The sequence below is a fragment of the Homo sapiens genome, chromosome 3, assembly GCF_000001405.40.
Source record: "Homo sapiens chromosome 3, GRCh38.p14 Primary Assembly".
NCBI lineage: Eukaryota > Metazoa > Chordata > Mammalia > Primates > Hominidae > Homo > Homo sapiens.
Genome location: NC_000003.12, coordinates 6,207,400 through 6,229,481, shown reverse-complemented (window position 1 = coordinate 6,229,481; position 22,082 = coordinate 6,207,400). Strand labels below are relative to the sequence as shown.

The following is a 22,082-nucleotide window of genomic DNA, read 5'->3' as shown; positions in this document are numbered from 1 at the left end:
TTAGACCTAAGCATCCGGGTATACAGCCCTAAGTTAGCCCACAGTACTATCATAATACAGGTCGATGCTATATTTGCCTTCATAATATGTTTCTACCTATTGAATTCTAAAGGTAAATTTCTTCCAAATCATCAAGCCAAATGGACATTTCAGAAAAAGAAGCTGTGACTGTCCTATAGATTTTTCTAATTATGAGTATGGAAGTCCCAAGCACAGGTTAAGTAAACACCTTGCAGCCAAGAACCCAAATATTTTGGTTTGTGTGCTCAGTATTGAAAGTTTGAACATGAAAGTTAAAATGGAAAGAGAATTTGGCAAATCAGTTTCCTTCTGACAGTAGGATGATCTCATTTCACATACGAACCCATTTAATGACTTGAGTCACATAACTAAAATCAATCACGTATTTTACCTAATGTAATCTAGTTCAACCAAGAAAGAATTACCATAGAAGACCTGGGCTTACTGCTGGAAATAATACTAGAATACAAAATGTATTAACCCCACAAAAGAGCTCAAACTCATGATGATTTTGCATTTTATTTCTGAAATGAATCGTAATTACCTGTCCCCTTACACCTGTTCAACCCTTTACTCCCAAATAAATCATAGGAACATGGATTGGAAATAGCCTTAAATAAAACATATTTAATGCAGCAAATACAGCACCCCAGTCCACGTAAGTTCTGACAAATATAGTCTTATGATTTCTAACAGCTTTGCAGGAGATGACAAGTGCCCCTTTGAAGCACTGTCATTGTTCCATGTTGGAGAATGGAGTATACTGGTATACAAGCTCTCCCTGACTGTGGCTAGATGAAATGGCATTGCCCAGGAAAGAAATAATGGGACAAATCATTGCTATAAACACAACGTTATAATATTCTACAGAGCTTCATTATAATTCTTTCAGCATTTTCTCACTCTATTTTGGGGCTCCTCTATTCTATTACACTGTATTGCTGCCTCAAGTTTATGGGGCTCCCTATCTCAGGATAATATCTCCAAAATCACTAACTTGCCTGGAAAAATTAATGCTTCCCATTATTTCATGTAACTTGAGAATCAAATCAATGTGGAATGAAACAGATCCTGCTGCTTACTAGACATGAGAACTTGAGCAAATATCTTAGCTTCTTTGTGTCTTTTATTCCTTACTTGGGATAATATTGTTCTGATGATGAAATGAAGTAAGAATTCCAGAGAGTCCAGCATAATGTCTAGGATGTCATGATGTGCCAAATAACCAATAGTTTTCTCTTTTTTTTCCACTCTGGTTCATAACCCAACACTCCCAGAAATTTTATCAGGCTAGATTCTGGAGAGGTAGATCTTTACAAATTGAAAGTCCATGTTTCTGATTAAAACAATGGCCTGCGTCCAAAAATAATGGTAAGAGTATATACTTCCTGGTATCACATTTTACATGTTTAATCCCATTCAATACTCTCAGAACGCTTGTGAGGCAGATATCAACATTATTTCTTTTATAAAGGTATAAAAGCTGAAGCTCATAAGGGTTAATCATTTGCCTTCTGTCTCCCAGCAAATAAGTGAAAAAGTTAGAATGCGAACTTAGCTCTCTCTGCCTCGAACTCCTTCCTTATTTGTATATTAGTAGTTACTGAGTAGTAACGTAAGAATTGGGCTCCAAGCAGTATTCTTTAAAGTAGAGCCCTTGAAATCACCTGCATCAAAATCAATTGTGGTACTTATCAAAAATTCAGATTCAGGGACTATCTCCAGTCGTACTAAAGCAAAATCTATGGGGCTTTGGGACCTCACATTTTTCACTTTTAGTAAGTTGTCCAGACGTTTCTTCTGCTAAGTAAACTATCAAAGGCTTTCTTGTAGTCTATTGCAGATGTCTGTCTTAGTTATCTTGGGCTGCTATAATAAAAATACCATAGACTGGGTGGCTTAAAGAACAAACATTTATTTCGCACAGTTCTGGAGACTGAGAACTTCTAGAAGCATTCCAGGAAATTCCTTGACTGGTGAGGGCCCTCATTTTGGTTTGCCATCTTCTCATTGTATCTTCCCATGGGTGGGGGGAGAGAAAGAGAGAAAGAGAGGGATTGAGAGAGAGAGAGAGAGAGGGAGAGAGCACTAGTGCTCTGTATCCTCCAGCCACTTATGAGAATACCAATCCCAACATGGGGGCTCCACTCCCAGGATGTTATCCAAACACAGTTACCTCCCAAATACTTTATCTCCAAATACCATCCCATATCTCCAAATACCATCCCATCTCAACATATATCCAAATATATCTTCAAATACCATCCCATCTCAACACATACATTTTGAGAAAACACAAATATTCAGTCCATAGTATTCTGCCCCTGGCCTCCCAAAATTTATGTTCTTCCCACATGCAAAACACATTCATTCCATTGCAACAGCCCCAAAAGTCTCACCTAGTTCCAGCCTCAACTCTCAAGTCTGAAGTCCAAAGTGCCATCAAAATATTATTTAATTCAGATATGAGTGAGAGGCAAGGTAAAATTTCCTCCTAGCTGTGAAACCAGATAAGTCATGTGTTTGCAAAATACAATGGTGGGACAGGGATAGGATGAGTATGTCAATTCCAAAGGGAGAAGAAAAAAAGTGGTGATGATTCCCAAGATTAAAGTTTCACAGGAAAAACTCTATTAAAGCTTAAGGCTTGAGAAAAATCCATGTTGGCTTGAGGGTCTGCCTGTGGACCTAGTGGATTCATTAGGTCTCACCCCAGGGCCCTCTCTGCTTAGCTCCTGTTCCATGAAGTCTAGTACAGGATTGGCCAGTTGGTCTCTAGTGAAGTGACAAATGTCCACAGGTTTTACTCAATTAAAAAATAATTGAAAAAAAATAAAAGTTTGCAGCCCTAAAACTCTTTTGGTGCCACAAGCAGAACAGCAGACTGGATTTTCCATTGGTCCTTATTTCCACGTTTCTACCCAGTGGAGAACTTGGCAGTGTAGGATTCTAGTTTGCATACCTACATACATAGTCCAACAGAAATATGCAGGCTTAATTATTTTGCCCTTTTCATTACATTAGAAAACTGTGTTTCAATTATAGGAGAAAACTTTCTTCTTAAGAAAGAGATGGAGACTGATAAGAATAGATACTACACTGGATTGGTGGCTCATGCCTATAATCCCAGCACTTTGGAAGGCCGAGGCGGGTGGATCACGTGAGGTCAGGAGTTCGAGACCAGCCTGACCAACACGGTGAAACCCCATCTCTACTAAAAAATACGAAAATTAGCCATGCTGCTGGCAGGCGCCTGTAATCCCAGCTACTTGGGTGGCTTAGGCAGGAGAATTGCTTGAACCCAGGAGGCGGAGGTTGCAGTGAGCCGAGATCATGCCATTGCACTCCAGCCTGGGCAACAGAGCAGGACTCTGTCTCCAAAAAAAAAAAAAAAAAAAAAAAAAAAGAAGCAGAAAAGGAAAGAAAAGAAAAAAGAAAGGGATGGAGAAGCTGGATTTTAACATTTCTTTCTTCTTCCTTTCTTGTCTTCCCAGTTGTTTTTTTTTTTTTTTTTTTTGTAGAAGTATACTTACTTGCGGAAAACTATATTACTCAGTTAAGTAGTTTACATTTAAAGTTAAGGCTTTCAATGGGGAACAAATATGTCATGAAGACTCTAAAATATTACTGTGAATCAGCAAAAGGCAGTTCTGGGTTTCAGGTGCTAGAAATGTACTGAAGCATATATTACAGAGTCTGTGCTACCAAAAGAACATCCCGAAGAAACAAATAGATCTATTTATCCTGAGTCCTGCCTGCTTCAGCCTGCAAGATGTGATTTGCTGAATGACAGAACTTATTTCTATGAACTAACAAAAGCCAGAAAGGGGTCATTAGGGAGCCAGAGATTGCTGAATTTCCATTCCAGACCTTGAACTGCATATAATAAATGGTGAAAGGGAAAAGATGCAAAGACCAAGAATCATTGATTGGTACTTTTGTGAAGATGTTCTCATAACTCAGGGAAAAGATATCGAAGTCTTCCTTCTTCATCCTCCAGAGGCTTCCTGACTCAGTGAGTTGAAAGGCAAGTGAGAAAACCAGCAGCTCTGGAGGACTGATTTGGCTTGTCACAAGATCTGGGTCTAAAGACAAATGGTTCCCTCAGCTTGAAAATGGATGTGACCAAGCTAACCATCCTTTTGTCTCCTGGGTTAGGAGGTGAATGGGAGTTACCTCTAAAGGCAGACAAAAACCTATTACAAGCAGTGGATGAAAAATATTTTTAGAAATAAAATGAACTAAGCTGGACACAGTGGCTCACGCCTGTAATCCAAGCGCTTTGGGAGGCTGAGGTGGGCAGATTACGAGGTCAAGAGATGGAGACCATCCTGGTCAACATGGCGAAACCCCGTCGCTACTAAAAATACAAAAATTAGCTGGGTGTGGTGGCGCGTGCCTATAGTTCCAGCTACTCAGGAGGTTGAGGTAGGAGAATCACTTGAACCCGGGAGGTGGAGGTTGCAGTGAGCCGAGACTGCACCACTGTACTCCAGCCTGGTGACAGAACGAGACTCCGTCTCAAAAAAAAAAAAAAAAAGAAATAAAATGAACTATAGTGAGCATTGGTGGAATATAGTCTTCAGTTCCTGGAGTGGGTGATAGTTGGCCTAGGTCAATCAGCGTAGGCCATCCTGTTACAAACAGTAATTTGTTCAGGTCCTTAAACATTCAGGACATGGCACTTGCCTAGCCAGAATGCCAGATATTTTTATTCATCTGTCTGTCTGTTTATCTATCTATCTATCTATCTATCTATCTATCTATCTATCTGTCTTCTGTCAATCCACCATATATCTCTATTCAATCACTGTATTATGAAAATTATCAAACATCCCACACAGTTAAAAAATTCTATCCCTTCTTATTTTTTATGCATTTCAAAATAAATGTTTGAAGTCAAAGACCTTCACTATAAATAATACACACTTAATTATTTGATTTTAAATGTTTTCATCTTCAGATATAAAATTTACATGTAATATACTTGCAGATGTTTTCTTGCGGAATAAAAAGTAAAGGAAATAAAAATTTAAATTTACATAGAATAAAATGCACAAACTTCAAATGCATATTGTCTACATTTTGACAAAAGTGTACATCTCTGTATCACAAACCTTAGCAAGATATTGAACATGACCAGGATCCAAGAAAGTATTCCCACCCATGCTCAGTCAAATCTTTTCATGCTCCTTTGGAGATGACCATCGTTCTGATTATTTTGCACCGCAGTATGAGTTTTCTTTTCTTGAATTTTTGTGTAAGTGGAATCACACACAGCATATTCTTACGTAAAGCATCTTCTAATTAACCTCATATTTTTCAGGTTCATCCAATGATGTTGAATGTGACAGTAATTTTTTTCAACTACTGTGTAATATTCCATTATATGAACATATCACAGTTTGTTATGCATTTGCCTGTAATTTCTATACCTAGGGTGTTCCAGGTTTTTGAATAAAGCTATCAAAATTATTTTACAATAAGAGTGTCAGCGTGCATAGGAAAGTCTTCTCCAACGGAGAGGAGCTATTTTAACACTAACATTGTTTAGAATTGACAGAGCGTAGTGATAAAAAGCAGGCTGATTTTACTCATTTTTATTCTTGTTCTTAAATTCTCTATATACAATGCAACAGCTTGTAGCTTGCACTTAGGACAAGCTGTTTCCACTGCCCACCACATCCTCTGTTTTAGAACATCACTGACTGACACCATATCTGCTTGGTTTATTTTTATTTGTCCACTGTCTAGTGTAGTGTCTGGCACATCCTTGGCTCAATAAATACTTATCAACTTGCTAAATGAATGATCTTTAATTCACAATGGTAGAGAAAAGCAGGAGAAATCAAGTGACCCTTCTGTTTTTAAAGTCTATATTATACCCTGGTATACTTCTCTACTAGAATAAATATGCCAAAACATGAGTTAACACTTTTACTTTCATGAAAATACTTCTCAGAAATTCCCCTGGAGATTTTTTTTATTTTAGTTAGGCAAATCATATCTCGTATCATTATATTTGACATTAGTTTAAGTGACATATTACCCCAGTTTTTGGAAATTTAAAATGCATTTCCATTAAATGAGTTTTTTCTAACCGTTTAACTCCAGCTCTTAAAAAATAGCCACAACTTATTTTCATAGTCTTCAGAGGAATTTTTACCTATGTAAATAAGTGGCTTAAGTTTCAGAAACTTAATTTGAAATATTGTATTTGGCTATTTTCAGGGCTGTCTTTACTAAGTGAGAGAGCCGATGTAAAATGTCACCATATATTTGAACAAATACAAATTGTATTCTTAAAATTATACTGAATCATTAAGTGTGCACAGATAATAACCAGATATTTATTTGTAATTAATATGCTGTTATATTTGAAATCCGAATTTCTTGCATTTTTCTGATCTCCTACCTGTGTTTTTTCAACAAATAAATTACTTTATGTAATGCTTCATTAAGGGAAATGGCTAGCAAATGCACACAAAACACAGAATTGCTCTTTCCCTAAAATGAGCACAAAATTACTGCTGAAGATTTAAAGACAAAATTTAGGATTTAATTTTTTATAATAAAGGAAGGTTGATTGCAGACTGTGGATTCAAACATTCTGCTTTTCAGACCCAGTCTCACCATTTCCTGTTTGTATGAGCTTGAGAAAGTTACTGAACTTCCTGGTGATTTATCTCCTTTTAAAGCAGAGGTGATATACACTGAACCTAAGTCATAGGATGGTTGTGAGTGCCAAATGTGTTCGTACACGGACCACACTCAGTATGAGGACAACTGAGTGCTGGGCACATGAAATGTGGCGATGTCCTCTTGCTTACTATTGTTTTGTCTTTATCCCTTGAGAGCAGAGATGTATTCTTTACATCTCGCACACATTCAAAGTGCTCACAGTTAGTAGGTACTTAATAAACACCTATTGATTCATCTACACTCACATTCCACAACAACTACCCCTTGTACGTGACCTCTATCCACACCTCGGCACACCTGGTATGTGTCAGAGCCTCAGATTATCTCTTTCAATGTTCAACATCCAACAACCTTTCTTCAATGTCAACAGGCAAGGTCTGAAGAATTATAGAACTTTTACAGATAAAGTCATTGTGGCTTTGAAAGGCTGGAGTAGTATTAATGGCTTTCTGGGTCTGAAACTCTATCTCTTCACTTCACACTCTGTTCCCACGCAATTACATAATAGCTAAATAAACAGGGTCAAGGCTTTTTTACTGTTCTACTAGTGCCCCAAAAAAGGAGTTTTACTGCATTTAATAAGTTCATAACATCATAAGTTTGGTAGAAATTCCCCTGCCTCAAGTTTTACTTAAAAATTGAAGAAGTAAAGTTATTCAGAATAGATTATCATGTTCAGTAAGCTAAGAAAACTGGCTTTTCCTGAAATGAAATATGCAAAATTTGCCTGAATGTTTGAAATTTAAGACCATACCATGTAGGCCCCTGCATTTCACTATCTTTGATTTCATAGGCAAGATAAATTCTCCAAAACACATTCATATATCTCCAAAGAACAAAATCTTCTCAAATTTATTGGACTGGTTGTGTCATATGCCATTTGATTTCAGTATTGCCACCTTGCTTTCTTAAGGATCATACATAGACAGAATGTTACACAAGTGTAGTATTGAGACACATTGCCATACATACTTTCCTGAGTCCTATTCAATGGTCAAATGTGGAAGGTGAAAATAAATATATAATCCTCAGATAGGAAAAAGAATCAGTGAGGCAGAGAATTCTGAATCATTAATCTTTGGCCTGCTTGACAGGCAGGGAAAATGTAAGCTAATGATGTGTAAAAGGTACAAATCCATTTCTAGATTACTATCTGTCTTCAGAATGATGGCTCAGAGACACCCAAAATGAGAAGGCACAATCTGGCGAGACACACATGGCTCTAACATCTTCCCTGCCATCTTTTCTTTTTCAGTGGGTAAACCCGTTTAAAGAAAACATATTTCACATCTAGGAGTAGGAGGGGCTTTGTGATTTAGGATATATGGTGCCTGATTGTAATTTTTTAGAAACTAGAAATCTAATATGCAGAGAGAAAATAAAACTACTTAAATATCATCTGAATTTGAGTTTACAATTTAGAAACAGCTGCATGTTCTTCTGTAATTTCTTTAAGCCTCCCACTTGGGCAACGTCTGTTTACATACCACATGTTTTCCAAGTACCTTTTTCTATTCATCTAATCTGTTCCAGAATAAGACAGATTTTCACTAAAATAGGGTTTGGTTAAATATGAAATTGTCTCCAATAGTGGATTCGTGTGTCCAGATTATTAAACAATCCTGACATGAGACTCAAGCCTGTGGTTGGGTTGTTCCCCTTCTTTCTCCTACTGTTCACTCTTGGGTTACAATTTTTCAAGAAAACAAGAGTGAAACGTAGGCAGGCACAACTTCATAGGTGTACAAGCTGGAAAATTGCCCTATTAAAATTGTTATTCATTTTATCTTTAAACTTGTGCTTTGCATGTGAAGTCTGATGAGGCAAGAAAGCAGGTGCATGAGCAAAGGATATACATGCAATATGCACCTCTGCCACTGTTCCATGCCACCCTATTTGCATACAGTGTCATTAATGGCCCATAAGCACAGAATTCCAATGGACCTACAACATGTGAGAGTGCAACCGGACTAAAAGTAAATGCAAGGTAAGCATATTTTATGATTGAGTGAGTGGGGTGTTCTCATTTCTGAGAAACCACACCTTCTGTTCAAACTAGAACTTGCTTTGAAGACAGAAAGAAGGCAACAGCATTCTAAGAGACATGAGTGGCTAAGAAATCTGTCATGTATTTCCTTACTTTATATGACTTTATTAATAGCCACTTATGGAAAACTGCTGACACATAAGAAAAGGGAAATAAAGGGCAACACATAGTTTCCTTTTTTTTCAGTTCCTCCTTCCTCATTTCTAAGCCAAAGATAGCATTGATAGAAGGTGTGCGTATCAAATTAAATAAGAACAGGTGAATTAGTTTATGAATAGTCTCTATTCGATTCTTCAGCTAAGAATGAAATACATATGCATATAAGCTGGAAAATAGTACTTGTGTAATTTTCATTATTCCATCTATAAGTTAATTGCTTCTACATTTGCATTTAAAATTGGCATTGTACAATATAAAGATGAATGACAAAAGCCATGCTAATAATGTTAAAATTTAAATTTTTTACTTAAGGCTTTAACTAATGAATAATCATGACAAATGAGAGTAATAGTCTGCAAACTAAAAAAAAGCTGTAGATTTAGTAGCTTTAATGGCATTTTTACCTGGTTTTTGTTTGTTTTTTAAGGTGAGGATCTGAACTTTCATTTTGCACAGGAAATGATACACTACCCACATGGTCCTGAATGAATGGGAATCGTTTTAGCTATTAGAACAAAATACTATTCCTAGAAAGAGTTGTAAGTGTTTTGTGGATCCAAGAGGAATATATTAACTATAAAGTAGATGATTTAGGAAAAAAAAGGAATTTATATAATCTCACTCCTCCTTCAAAACTGTGTTCTGCACAGTACATAAATTGGCCTTATTCTGTCCTCATCTTATTCTAAGATCTCTATATGTCACTAACTAAAACTAGCTTTGAATATTATTTAATCAAGGTCAAGAACAATGCTGTATTGGTTTGTTTATTTTTAGGGGGATGACTTAAAAGTTTTAAATGATGGCCAAACTCAACTCCTGATAAACATTTTGTTGTCTCTTCCCTTTGTCAGGAAACAAAATGTCCCAGGAAAGGTGGAGTGGATCATCTTGGTAGATTAACTTGTGATCGACATTACGTCAGATGGTTGGGAATGTAGATTTTGGCAGATTTCCATAGATATAAATATCATATTCAGAAACAAGCATATGCCAATCGTTGTCCCATATAAACCGTAGTTTTGGATATGCCCATGATAGGCCCTGCACCAGAGCTTGCTTTCTAAGCTTAAAATTTTTTTTTTTTTTTTTTAAGGAGCAGTAGTAAAATTGTGAATGAACAATACGAAAGGATTAGAAGCTGAGTAGCAAGCAAACCTCATGGGCCCATGTCCTTTTATTAGCGAACTAATGTTCTATGATATTCATTCAAATATTTGCTGAGCATCTGCTCTGGAAAATGTACGATGGAAATTCCAAGAATGATGACGGTAGCTCAATGGGTCAGGAAAGATTTGGGAATGATCACATCTCTCTATATAAGTCAGCTTTATTTGTATCCCAGTTGTTAACTTATTTCTCCACTTTATCTTCAATGAGATTCTAATCAAAGTAGAACTAGAATAATTATATCTAAAACAAGCAAAAATATTTTTGCTGCACAGTAGAGCTCTAATCAAATACAAAGATAGCATATTTCGGAGAAAAAGTAAACCAGCAGGAGTTAGACTGGAGCTTGAATGCTTCAATTGCCTACTAATGTGGATTAATTCTGGCTGTTTCATACAAAAATGCATAGACAATATCACAGGAGAAGCATGCGTGCCTGAAACAAAAACAGGTAGGCAAAGTGGCCCTAACACCAACTCCAGTCTTCTAAGAACATTTTGTTTGAAAGAAGGGGTGAGTGGCTTTACATAAAAAATAACAAGAAACTCCTGGAGAAGAAAACGATAGGTCTAGAAAAATAGAGAATAAAGTATAAAGGGATTTAGGAAGCTATCAAAAAGATGGAGGTAGATGACTATAAACAAAGAGATGTAAACAAAAGAAGATAACAATTACTATGAGAAACGCAATTACAGAAGAGTATTTTTAGGAAGATTTTCTGTGTATTGCATGATGCAATTTCTCAACTGTTACCTCTTGCAGAATTCTTTTGTACAGATTCACGTTACTTATCAAGGCCTCGTAAATTACCATTTGAATTTATTTTCCAATGCAACATTTTACCTTAAGGTGGCTTGTCATATTTACATCAAACTGAAAAACACAGTGAAGAAGATAGAAGTAGGCAATGCCCATGGCAGAGAATAAAAGTAGGGGAGGTTAGAAGTTAACAAATTGACAACAGAGGAAACGAAAAAAAATGCGAAGAAAATGAGATTTCACCGTCTTAGGAGGACAGAGCAGGTAGCCCCGTAAACAATCATACAATTCTTTGAATTTATAGGAATTTAGAAAATAGAGTGGGAGAAAAAGAGGAAAACACTAAAACCTTAATTTTGCCCTACTGAAGACAGTTCAGTGTATTTAGAAAATTATCTGCCAATGAATAAGTCAAGCAAAATAATGTAAAAAAATAAACAGGCTTGGGGGTCAAATTGAATTATACATCTTCCACTTGCTAGTTATTTTTCACTCTCTTTGAGAGTCCGTGTTCTAGTGAGAAATGGATAATCATTCATATTTGTTGGTTTAGAGGATAAAATGAACAAATATGCATATTAACGTAGAACAGTGTCTAACACTAGCTCAATAGATGTTAGATCCTATTATTAATTTTTTGAGAAAACATTGTGACCTCATTCATTCAGAATTTAGATTTTCTAGTTTAGAAAATTAATATAGTACATATACCACCGGGGGGGGGGGGGTCTCAGGCAGCAATCCATAGTTGAATATTAATATTTCTGCAGCCAAAGTTATGAATATACAAAATATTGTTTAAAATAAGTATCATAGTCTCTCATTAGATGAGATCAGTTCTTATTGCCAGATAAGTTATAAAAACAAAACCAAAAATTGTTTTTCAGATTCTTTTTCAATTCTATAATTATAGATAAAGGATATTGAATCTGAACTTAAGCCATGGTATCATTTTCGTGACATGATATGATTCATTCAATTATATGTTTTCGACCATCTTCTTGTGAATCTCTACCACACCAATATCACTACCATATCAATAATGGATATGAACTGAAAGGAAAGTGAAAATAAATTTTATTTTGTATACTCCTTAAGAAATTCGAGGCAGGTGGATCAATCACGAGGTCAGGAGATCGAGACCATCCTGGCTAACATGGTGAAACCCCGTCTCTACTAAAAAAAAAATACAAAAAAAAAATTAGCCGGATGTGGTGGCGGGCGCCTGTAGTCCCAGCAACTCAGGAGGCTGGGGCAGGAAAATGGTGGGAACCTGGGAGGCAGAGCTTGCAGTGAGCTGAGATCTCGCCACTGCACTCCAGCCTGGGCAACAGAGCGAGACCCCGTCTCAAAAAAAAAAAAAAAAATTAGTAAGACAATATAAGATTTTTCTAAAATAATGAAAGTATTTAAAAGATGTAAATAATATAAAAAATTTAATGACATGGAACACTGTTTAACTCTTAAATGAAAAAGCAATTTAACAAAATTATATAAACTTGAATGTTTATGCTAAAATGGCAAAATATGGATATCACTAAATAATGAGATTAGAAGCAAGGTATATTTTTAATCTGTTTTTCTGTGTTCAGACTTTCTACAATAAGCTTTGTTGGTTACATTTTTAGATATTTTAAGGTATATAAAGTGAGCTGGGAAACTAGAGGGGAGGTTGACATAGGAAATATTTTTGACACTGCTATAACAAGATGTGGATGGAACATTGATAATTCCCCAGCGAAATTGGCCAATACTGAATGACCAAGTTGCCATTTAAGAAACACTGTATGTGATGCAATAAAGATGACTTTAAACTCTTTGGCATTTTTCCCGTTGGCAGAGGGGGACAATTTCTTCTTCTTTTGAATGTGACTCACTTATAACCATACAGTGAGATATCTGAGATGAAGTTAGAAGACACCTGGCAGCTTTTTCTTTGATTTCCTTGAATATTTGCCTTTTAGCTGCTCCCTCTTGGGACACCTGTCTTGGAACAAAGTTGTCATGCTGTGAGACTCCCATTACCCATGGAGAGGCCACACGAAGGTGCCCCAGAACAGCCAGCAATTTGTTACCAGCTGTGAGAGTGAGAGAGCTTGAATGTTGCAGCCCAGGCAAATCTTCAGTTGATGATGATAGGCTCAGCAATCTGGAGACTTCCTGAGCCCTCAAAGTATGAGAGAAATAGAATAGTTATTTTAATCCATTAAGTTTTGAAGCAATTTGTTATGCAGCCAGAAATAACCTTGAAAAGATCAGGTGCAATGTCCTTGCTGAAGTCTTATCCCAAAGCACAGTTATATAATCCCTACTGTTTGTACTTCTAATACAAATAGGAAAAACTAGATGGTCAAGTAATCAGGAGGATTTTTTGCTGAAAAGCTATCATGGGATTCCAAAAGACAACATTTTTTTAAAAAAGACCATAGACATATGCAATTAAATATATGCTGGAATCACTAGGGAAGTTTTCCCCAATCAGCATGTTTGAAGTTTCAAAATTCACCAGAGGCACGTCACTCTCACTGTGAATCACTGCATGCATAGTTTGAGAAAAATTATATTAATGCAATGCATAAAACTTCCCCAAGGGCTGTTTATTAATTATTATCCAACTTTATAACTATAGTAATAGTAGAAGATGGAATTTTTTTTCTTTTCAATGGGCTTTTGCTCTCTCCTTTTTAAAATCAAAGAAAGGCATATTTGATTAAAATCTACTCTCTAAGAATCAGTAAAATACTGATCTGTACAACCACTACTTTTTAAATGTCTATTACAATTTAATTTCTGAGAACAGAATAGAGTAGAAATGTAGAGCAAACTTCTTGTTTGAACATGGATCTATTCAATTCCCCAATTTGTAGGGTGCTGACATACCACAGAGATAAGCATGTAATCTGTTTATCTACTTCTAACCAGTAGAACTTTCTACCTTATTTATAGGCGTAATTCTTTCAGGCTCCACAGACAAAGACAAGAATAAAAACTCTGAAGAGTGACTGCAGCAAAGGCTGATTGAGAATACAGCTATGAATACTTTTCTTACTAATAAGAAGAAATTCTTACCAAATTCAAAGTCAGAATATTCGGAGGACTAACTGTATACCTTGCAACTAGATTGCTTTGCATTCCTTTTGCTTTTTGGAATGGATTTATTTTTATCAAACTTGGCCATAATACAAACATGTCAAGAAAACCTGCTTCCCTCTATCTATCCAATGTCTTTGAATCCTAGAAGATGAAAATTGGAAATAACAGAGGTTTTCTAGCTCTGTGTTTTTAAAACTCTTTCTATGGATTTCTGTGGATTTTTTTATAGGTTCCAAAACTTTTGGATCTGCATTTTTTTAAATATATTTCACTTACTTTAAACAATGTAAACATAATCTATATTAAAGATACATAATTATTATATTAAAAATCCAATCATCTGGACAGACATCTGACAGAAGAAGATACACAGATGGCAATTAAGCACATGAAAAGATGTTCAACATTATGTATATTTAGAGTACTGCAAATTAAAGCAACAATGAGATAGAACAACACTCAGCATACTCTTTTCCTATGAAGTTGCTGAACCGTTTTGCAAAGGGTCTGTATCATTTTGCATTTCCACCAGCAATGAATGAGAGCTACTGCTATTTCGCATCCTTGCCACATTTGGTGTTGCCAGTGTTTTGGATATTGGCCGTTCTAATGAGTGTTGCTCTAAAAAAAAGAAAAAAAAAAAAAAGTTAAAATTAAAAAATTAAAAATAGAAAAGCAATAAAGAAAACCTATATAAGCAAAACTGCCTCTTTCAAAAAATCCTTAATGTTTATCATTTTTTAATCTTTTAGGAGATGATCAAATAATATTTTCATGATTAAATATGTGTTAAAATATACAATGTGTAGTTGTTTTACATAGAGTGGTTAGAGCCAACTTCTCTAAGAACCTAATATTTGAGATGAGCTCTGGATAATAAAAAGAACCATCCAGGCCGGGCGCGGTGGCTCACGCCTGTAAACCCAGCACTTTGGGAGGCCGAGGCGGGCGGATCACGAGGTTAGGAGATGGAGACCATCCTGGCTAACATGGTGAAACTCTGTCTCTACTAAAAATACAAAAAAATTAGCCGGGCGTGGTGTTGGGCGCCTGTAGTCCCAGCTACTCGGGAGGCGGAGGCAGGAGAATGGTGTGAACCCGGGAGGCGGAGCTCGCAGTGAGCCGAGATGGCGCCACCGCACTCCAGCCTGGGCGACAGAGCGAGACTCCGTCTCAAAAAAAAAAAAAAAAAAAAAAAAGAACCATCCATTCAAATGTCTAAAGGAAAAGTGTCCCTGGTAGGGTGACATCTTTACAATGTAAAAACAGGCATAAGCTTACTTCTAATGTCTGCGTAAAACAATAACCTCGCCAGTATAATTTGCATATTAGTGCTCTCTGTTTTGTTTCGGTTTATTTTATTAATAAACTATATTTCTTAGAGCAGTTTTGAGTTCACAGTAAAATTCAGTGAAAGGTACAGAGTTCCCATATATCCCCTACCTCTACACATGCACTACTTCCCCACTCTCGACATCCCACACAAGAGTGATCCCACACAATTGTTCCAGTGGAAGAACCTACGTCGACACATTATTATCACCTGAAATTCATAGTTTACAATAGCGTTTACTCTTGGTGTTGCACATGCTGTGGGTTTGGAAAAATGTGTAATGATATATATCTGCCATTATAGTATCTTACAGGGCATTTTCACTGCCCTAAAAGTTGTCTGTACTCTGCCTGTTCATCCCTCTTTCCCCCAACTGGTGACAACCACTAATCTTTTTACTGATTCGATAGTTTCGCCTTTTCCAGAAAGTCAGAAATCCTTTTCAAATCGGCGTCTTTCATTTAGTAATATCTAAGTGTCTTTTCAGGGTTTAATAGCTCATTTCTTTTCGGCACGAAATCATATTCCACTGTTTGGCTGTACCACAGTTTATCCACTCACACACTGAAGGACATCTTCGTTGTTTCCAAGTTTTGCTGATTATGAATAAAGTTACTATACACATCTGTGTCCAAGTTATTATGTGGACATATGCTTTCAACTCCTTTGGGTAAATACTAAGGAGTATTTTTTTTTTTTTTTTTTTTTTTTGAGACAGACTCTCGCTCTGTCGGCCAGGCTGGAGTGCAGTGTCATGATCTCAGCTCACTACAACCTCAGCCTCCTGTGCTCAAGCAACTCTCCTGCCTCATGAGTAGCTGGGATTACAGGTGTGTGCCACCACGCCTGGCTAATTTTCATATTTTTAGTAGAGATGGGGTTTCACCATGTTGGCCAGGCTGGTCTCGATCTCTTGACCTCAGGTAATCCGCCTGCCTTGGCCTCCCAAAGTGCTGGGATTACAGGCATGAGCCACCGCGCCCAGTGTTAACTTTTATCTTTTTTTCATTTTGTTTACTTGGAGTTTAACTTGCCCTTCTTTTACTCATTTTTTTTTTTATAGGATAAAGATTTAGGTTGCTGATCTAAGACTTTCCTTTTATCCTAATAAGTACATTTAATGCTAAACTTTTCCTGTAAGGACATGGTTTTATCTGCATCCCCTGAATTCTGAATGTAGTATTTTCATTTTTAAGAAGCTCAAAATATTTTTTTACTTGCCTTGAGACTTCTTCTTTGACCAAAGGGTTATTTAGACGTGTGTTGTTTAATTTTCTAATGTTTGGGGTCTTTCCAGGTATTCTTATTTTATTAATTTCTAGTTTAATTTTATTATGGCCTGAAGACACATTTTGTATCTTTTTTTTCTTTAAAATATACTATGGTTGTTTTGTACCACTGGATATATCTATCTTGGTGAATGATCCATTTTAACTTGAGAAAAATGCTTATCATTGCATGGAATGCTCTATAAATGCTAAGTTGTTTATACCAAGTTCATTTACAGCATTGTCCAGGTCATTGCTCTTCTTTCTGGTTTTCTGCCTTCTTATTATATACTTCGATGAAAATGTTAATAGCTCCAACTACAACTGTGGGCTCGTCAATTTCTCTTTTCAGTTCTATCGGGTTTTGTGTCATGTAACTTGAAGCTTTGTTATTAGCATTAGATGCATGCACCTAATAACTTAAACAGGATTGTGTGTTTTCTTGGAGAATTGACTTTATCACTGCCTAACATGTCTGTATATCTTTGATACTATTTCTTGTTCTGAGGCGTATTTTGTCTGATACTGACATTGCTACTTTAGCTTGTTTTTTGATTAGTGTTTGCTTAGTACATCTTGTTTCATCCTTTTACATTTAATTGATCAATGTCTTATATTCAAAGCAGTTTTCCTATGGATAGAATATAGTTGGGTTTAGTTTTTTTATCAATTTGACAGCCTCTGATTTTGTAATTACAGTATTTAGACCTCACATAATTAATAAGATTATTGATATGGTTGAATTAAAATAAATCTTCACCGGGCTTGGTGGCTCATGCCTGTAATCCCAGCGCTTTGGGAGGCCGAGGGGGGCGGATCACCTGAGGTCGGGAGTTCCAGACCAGCCTGACCAACATGGAGAAACCCTGTCCCTACTAAAAAGACAAAGTTAGCCGGGTGTGGTGGCACATGCCTGGAATCCCAGCTACGTGGGAGGCTGAGACAGGAGAATCGCTTCAACCTGGGAGGCAGAGGTTGCCCTGAGCTGAGATCACGCCATTGCACTCCAGCCTGGGCAACAAGAGCAAAACTCCGTCTCAAAAATAAAAATAAAATAAAATAAATCTTCAAGCTATTTTCAGTTTATTTCATCTCTTTTTCCCCCTGTTTTTCTGCCTTAAGTTGGATGCACATTTTTTATTATTCTATGCTATCTCCATTATTAACTTTTTTTTTTAGTGGTTGTTTGGGGTTAACAATACACCTCTGAAATTAATCAGAATCTTTCTTCAAATGTGTAGTTTAAGGACCTTACAACAGTATAGTCTCAGTTTCTTCCTCCACACTTGGCACTGTTGTTGCCATATATTTTACTTATACTATGTTATAAACTCACAATATTGCTACTATTTCTTACTTAGAGAATCAGTTATCTTTTAGAGCAATTAAAAATAAGAAAAAGAAATATATTATTTTACCCTCGTGTATTTGATTTAGAGCATTTGACATTTTTTGTGTAGATTCCTGTTTCATCTAGTATCCTATTCCTTCTCCCTAAAGAACTTTCTTTAATGTTCGTTGTAGTGTAGGTCTGCTGGCAATAAATTCTCTCCATCTTTGTTACTCATGAAGTCTTTATTTTTCCTGTGTTCTTAAAAGATATTTTCACTGGATATAGAGTTCTGTGTTCACTTTTATTTCTTTCAACACTTTAAAGCTGTCACTCCATTACCTTATGGATTGAATAGTTTCTGATAAGAAGTCTGCTATAACCCTTAAGCTTTGCTCATTCTTTTATTTTTTATTTTTTCTTTTTTCATTTTTATCATTTCCACCCGGATACCTTCAGGACATTCTTATTGCTTTTTATTTTCAACAGTCTGAAGATTATATGCACAGGTGTGAATTTTATTTTTAATCCTGCTTGGTTTTCACTGAGATTATTGTGTCTGTCATTAACTTTGGAAAATTCTGTTAAATCTTTAATAATTCTGCTCCTTCTCTTTTTGTCTATTATTTTGATTACATGTGTCGTAGATTGTCTGATATTACCCCACAGCTTTTGGATGCTCTGTTATTTTTCACTCTTTATTCGCTTTGTAATTCAGTTGTGGTAATTTCTACTGACCTATCTTCACGTTCAGTGAATCTTTCTTTACTTGTGTCATCTCTTCTGATTAGCCCTTTGGAGGTGATCTTTATTACTGCTATTGTGTTTTTCCTTTTTAACATTCGCAAGTAATTTTTTACTTATAGTTTCCATCTTTCTTCTAAAATAGCATTTGTTCTTGGATGTTGTCAACCTTTTCCATTGGTAACTTTAACATATTACAAATATTTTAAACTGCATTTCAGTCCCCAGACGTGTGTCAAATCTGAGTTTGGTTCTGCTGATTGATTTGTCCTTTTGGGGAATGCTTTCTCAGTTTTTAAAAACTTCTGTTTGTGTCTTTTTATGCTGAGTAGTTTTTTGTTGTTGCAGGTAAGGCCACAGAGATTGGGGGAAGCAGCTTTTATGCTCGGAAAACAGCATTCCTTTTCTTCTGCTGGGCATTTGGTGTAGGTCGTTTTTCTTAACTCCTGGTCAAGAGTTAAGCTGGGTTTAGAGGTTCGTTGTTGCTTTAGTCATCTTGAGTACACCACAGGCTTCAAATTCCTTTAGAGATATCTTATGTTTAGGGTAACAGCTGGTTTTTCCAGAGGGCTTTCGTCAAGATCACCCTGAATTTCAGTTTTAGATCCTCCATTCATGCTGTGCCTCAGTGGGAGTCTGTCTCTTCCAACTCTTCTGGCAGTATTTCATGGTTACTTGCTATTCAATGCCCCTCAGCCTGATGATGGGGATCAGTGGGGAGCATACACTGGTGATTCTGATTAATCTTCTGCCTTCGGAAAGCACTGTGTTCCTGAAATCATGGTGTAGCCTATTCAGTGTTCCAGCTTTTTCTACCACAGTGGTTCCTCTTGCACGTATCCCTACCTCTCCCTGGTAATACAAGGGTTTGTTTTTGTTTTTGTTTCTTAGTCCCTTTTTCCCATTACCCTAGGGGAGATGGTTTATGTTGCCATTGCCCCTCAGATTAAAGCTTTTCTTTCCATCCAGGCAATGGGGAGAAGAGCACAGGGGAGTTCAGTGACTCTTACACAGCAGCTGTTATCGCCCTTTATTATTTCAGCCCAACAAGGGAAGCTTTATCAGCATCTTCCACGGTCTTCCCTGGGCGCAACTGGTGGAGTTCAAGGTAGAAAAGGCTGTGAGATTATGTGAACCATCTCCCATACGACATCCCTAGGGGTTGAAAACTCTCCAAGGCCTTCACTCAAGACCCACCGATTCATCAACTATTTTTACTTCACTCAGCGTCGACGAGAAAGTGGGGATATAGTGGTGCTCAGAAGTGACTGAATGCGGGAGTTGAGACTGGAATTCCAAAAAACTGCACTGTCCGCTTCCCACCTGGACTGAAGATCAGTAGCCATTTCTTTCCTTTAGGCATACTTTTTTTCCCTTAGAATTGAAATTCACCTTTATTAATAATAAAAAACACAAATTCAGAAGTAGGTTAGTTCACTCACATATTATTTCAGTGAGTATTATTGCACAGTCACACCAAATAGTTCATTTCTCTTTGTTACAAAAAATTATTTGTTTGTAGCTAAAATATGTTCATGCATCATTCCTTCTACTCCTACCCTCAAAATTCCATTGTCTTTTAAATTCCATTTTCTTCTTTATTGTATTTGGAGTTCCAGGTGGTATATCTGCTGTTACTCACAAACAAATTACTTTTCTATGGCTTAACAGAGGCATAATTGAATATAAAAACAAGGTCTATAAAGTAATTTCAGTACTCTAATACAACTCTGATTTCATAATGATAGAGTAAAAAGCACAAGAGTGAAAATTCAAGAGGACTCAATAGCCATGTAAAGACCAACTGGCAGAATGAGTGAGTGTTAGTACATAAAGGCACATCAGAAACAGTGCCTTGTTGTTTCCCACTTTTCCTAAAACATGTAATGAGAGGTAATAAAATGGAGGCATTTAAAATGTTTCTGCAGCTTTTCAAGTGATTCTTCAAACTTTCTTTACTCATCAACATTAATGTCAGGGATTAGAGAAATGAAATAGCTACAATAACATTCAAAATAATTTTATAGAAAATTTTATTTATTTAAAAAGTCTTCATTAAAATGTGTTTTCTTATTCCCAAATCACCTTTAATATTTTCATTGAATTAACTCAGAGCATATATAACTCCAAAAAGTCAAAAATAGAGATTCAGTTTTATAGTAAAGATGGCCAAAGGCTAGGTAATAGAAACTTGCTGAGGTATTCTGGCTATTGTTGTTAAAATCCTGATCAGCCTGGATGCTGAAACTCTCCACCATAGCACGCTTATGGACCCATCATTGCACCATCTAATAAACTGGGTCACCAACTCTCAACCTTTTAATTTTTTCTACTGAATAATAGATTTCAGAAAATACAGACAACTTATATAGTTGCTTCTCAGAGGGATCAGACAGGCAGTAACTCTTCAGGGTTTCCAGTGGCTCCTACCAGGGTTTGCACCCAAAGTCACCCAAATTACAAACAAATTACTTTTATATGGCTTAATAATTCCAGTATTTAGGTCCACGGTGGCCATAATGCACCAAGGGCAAGACAAAATCATTTTCATTTCTGCACCACCAAATCACAGTTTATCTCAGATATCTATTATCATTCATTATAAAGGATACAACTCTGGAGCAGTCAAATAGAAGAGAAGCATGGGGCAAGGTGTGGCGGAAGTGAAACAGAGCTTCCATGCCCTCTCTGGGATGCCACTCTCTTAGCACCTCCATGTGTTCGGTGTTCATCAACTCAACTGCTCTATATTTTTTCTTTTCGGTCATAAAACAGTTGCTTATTCATACATTTTTAAATTTATCTTAAAGAAAATTGATATGTTGAGGAATGTTATTATATATAAGGGGTGCCAAAGAAAAGATGAGAGGACACCAAAAAGACACCTTCATCTTAACTTCTTTGATCAGATAACATTTTTCTTCCCCAGGTGTAACTTTTTCTGAGATTTAATGCTTCCTGAATCATGTGCTATGGGAAAAACAGTGATAGAACTTAAGGAAGTATCCTTCATACCTATGAATGAAAAAAATAAAATTTAGTCAGCAAGACTACAAACCCTATAACCCTGCAATGAGTATCTCAAAAAATAAATTTTCCTTGAAGTTTTAGAAACACTAATTGACCATTGTAAGTAGGAGAGGTAATGAACTCTGCAAAATGCATATACCACATGCCCCAGGTAAGTAAGTGCTTCCATCACAGATTTGTTTCCCTCAAGGCATCTGTCTCTCCCCAGATTTTCTTCTAGTTGATTGTTTTGAGATTTCAGCTCAATCGCAATTTCCATAAAAGTTATGAACTTGCATTTTGTCTGACTTTTTTCTTGTAATTGTTGGGACAGCACTACTTCTGACTCTCTACTGTGGTAGGCATTGTGTGGGAAATAAAGAGAGAAAGACAACATAATCCCTCCTGACAAAGATGCATGCATTAACAAGGAAAGTAAGCCATAGC

General features: G+C 36.4%; 1 long non-coding RNA gene across 1 annotated transcript in view; it reads right to left on the bottom strand.

Moving 5' to 3' along the window:
- Positions 1–12,326: 12,326 nt before the first annotated feature.
- Positions 12,327–22,082, bottom strand: part of LOC105376942 (uncharacterized) — a 150,192-nt gene continuing 140,436 nt past the window's right edge. The window contains exon 4 of the long non-coding RNA XR_940578.3: positions 12,327–14,572. This is a non-coding gene — a long non-coding RNA (uncharacterized LOC105376942). The remainder of the gene's footprint in view (positions 14,573–22,082) is intronic.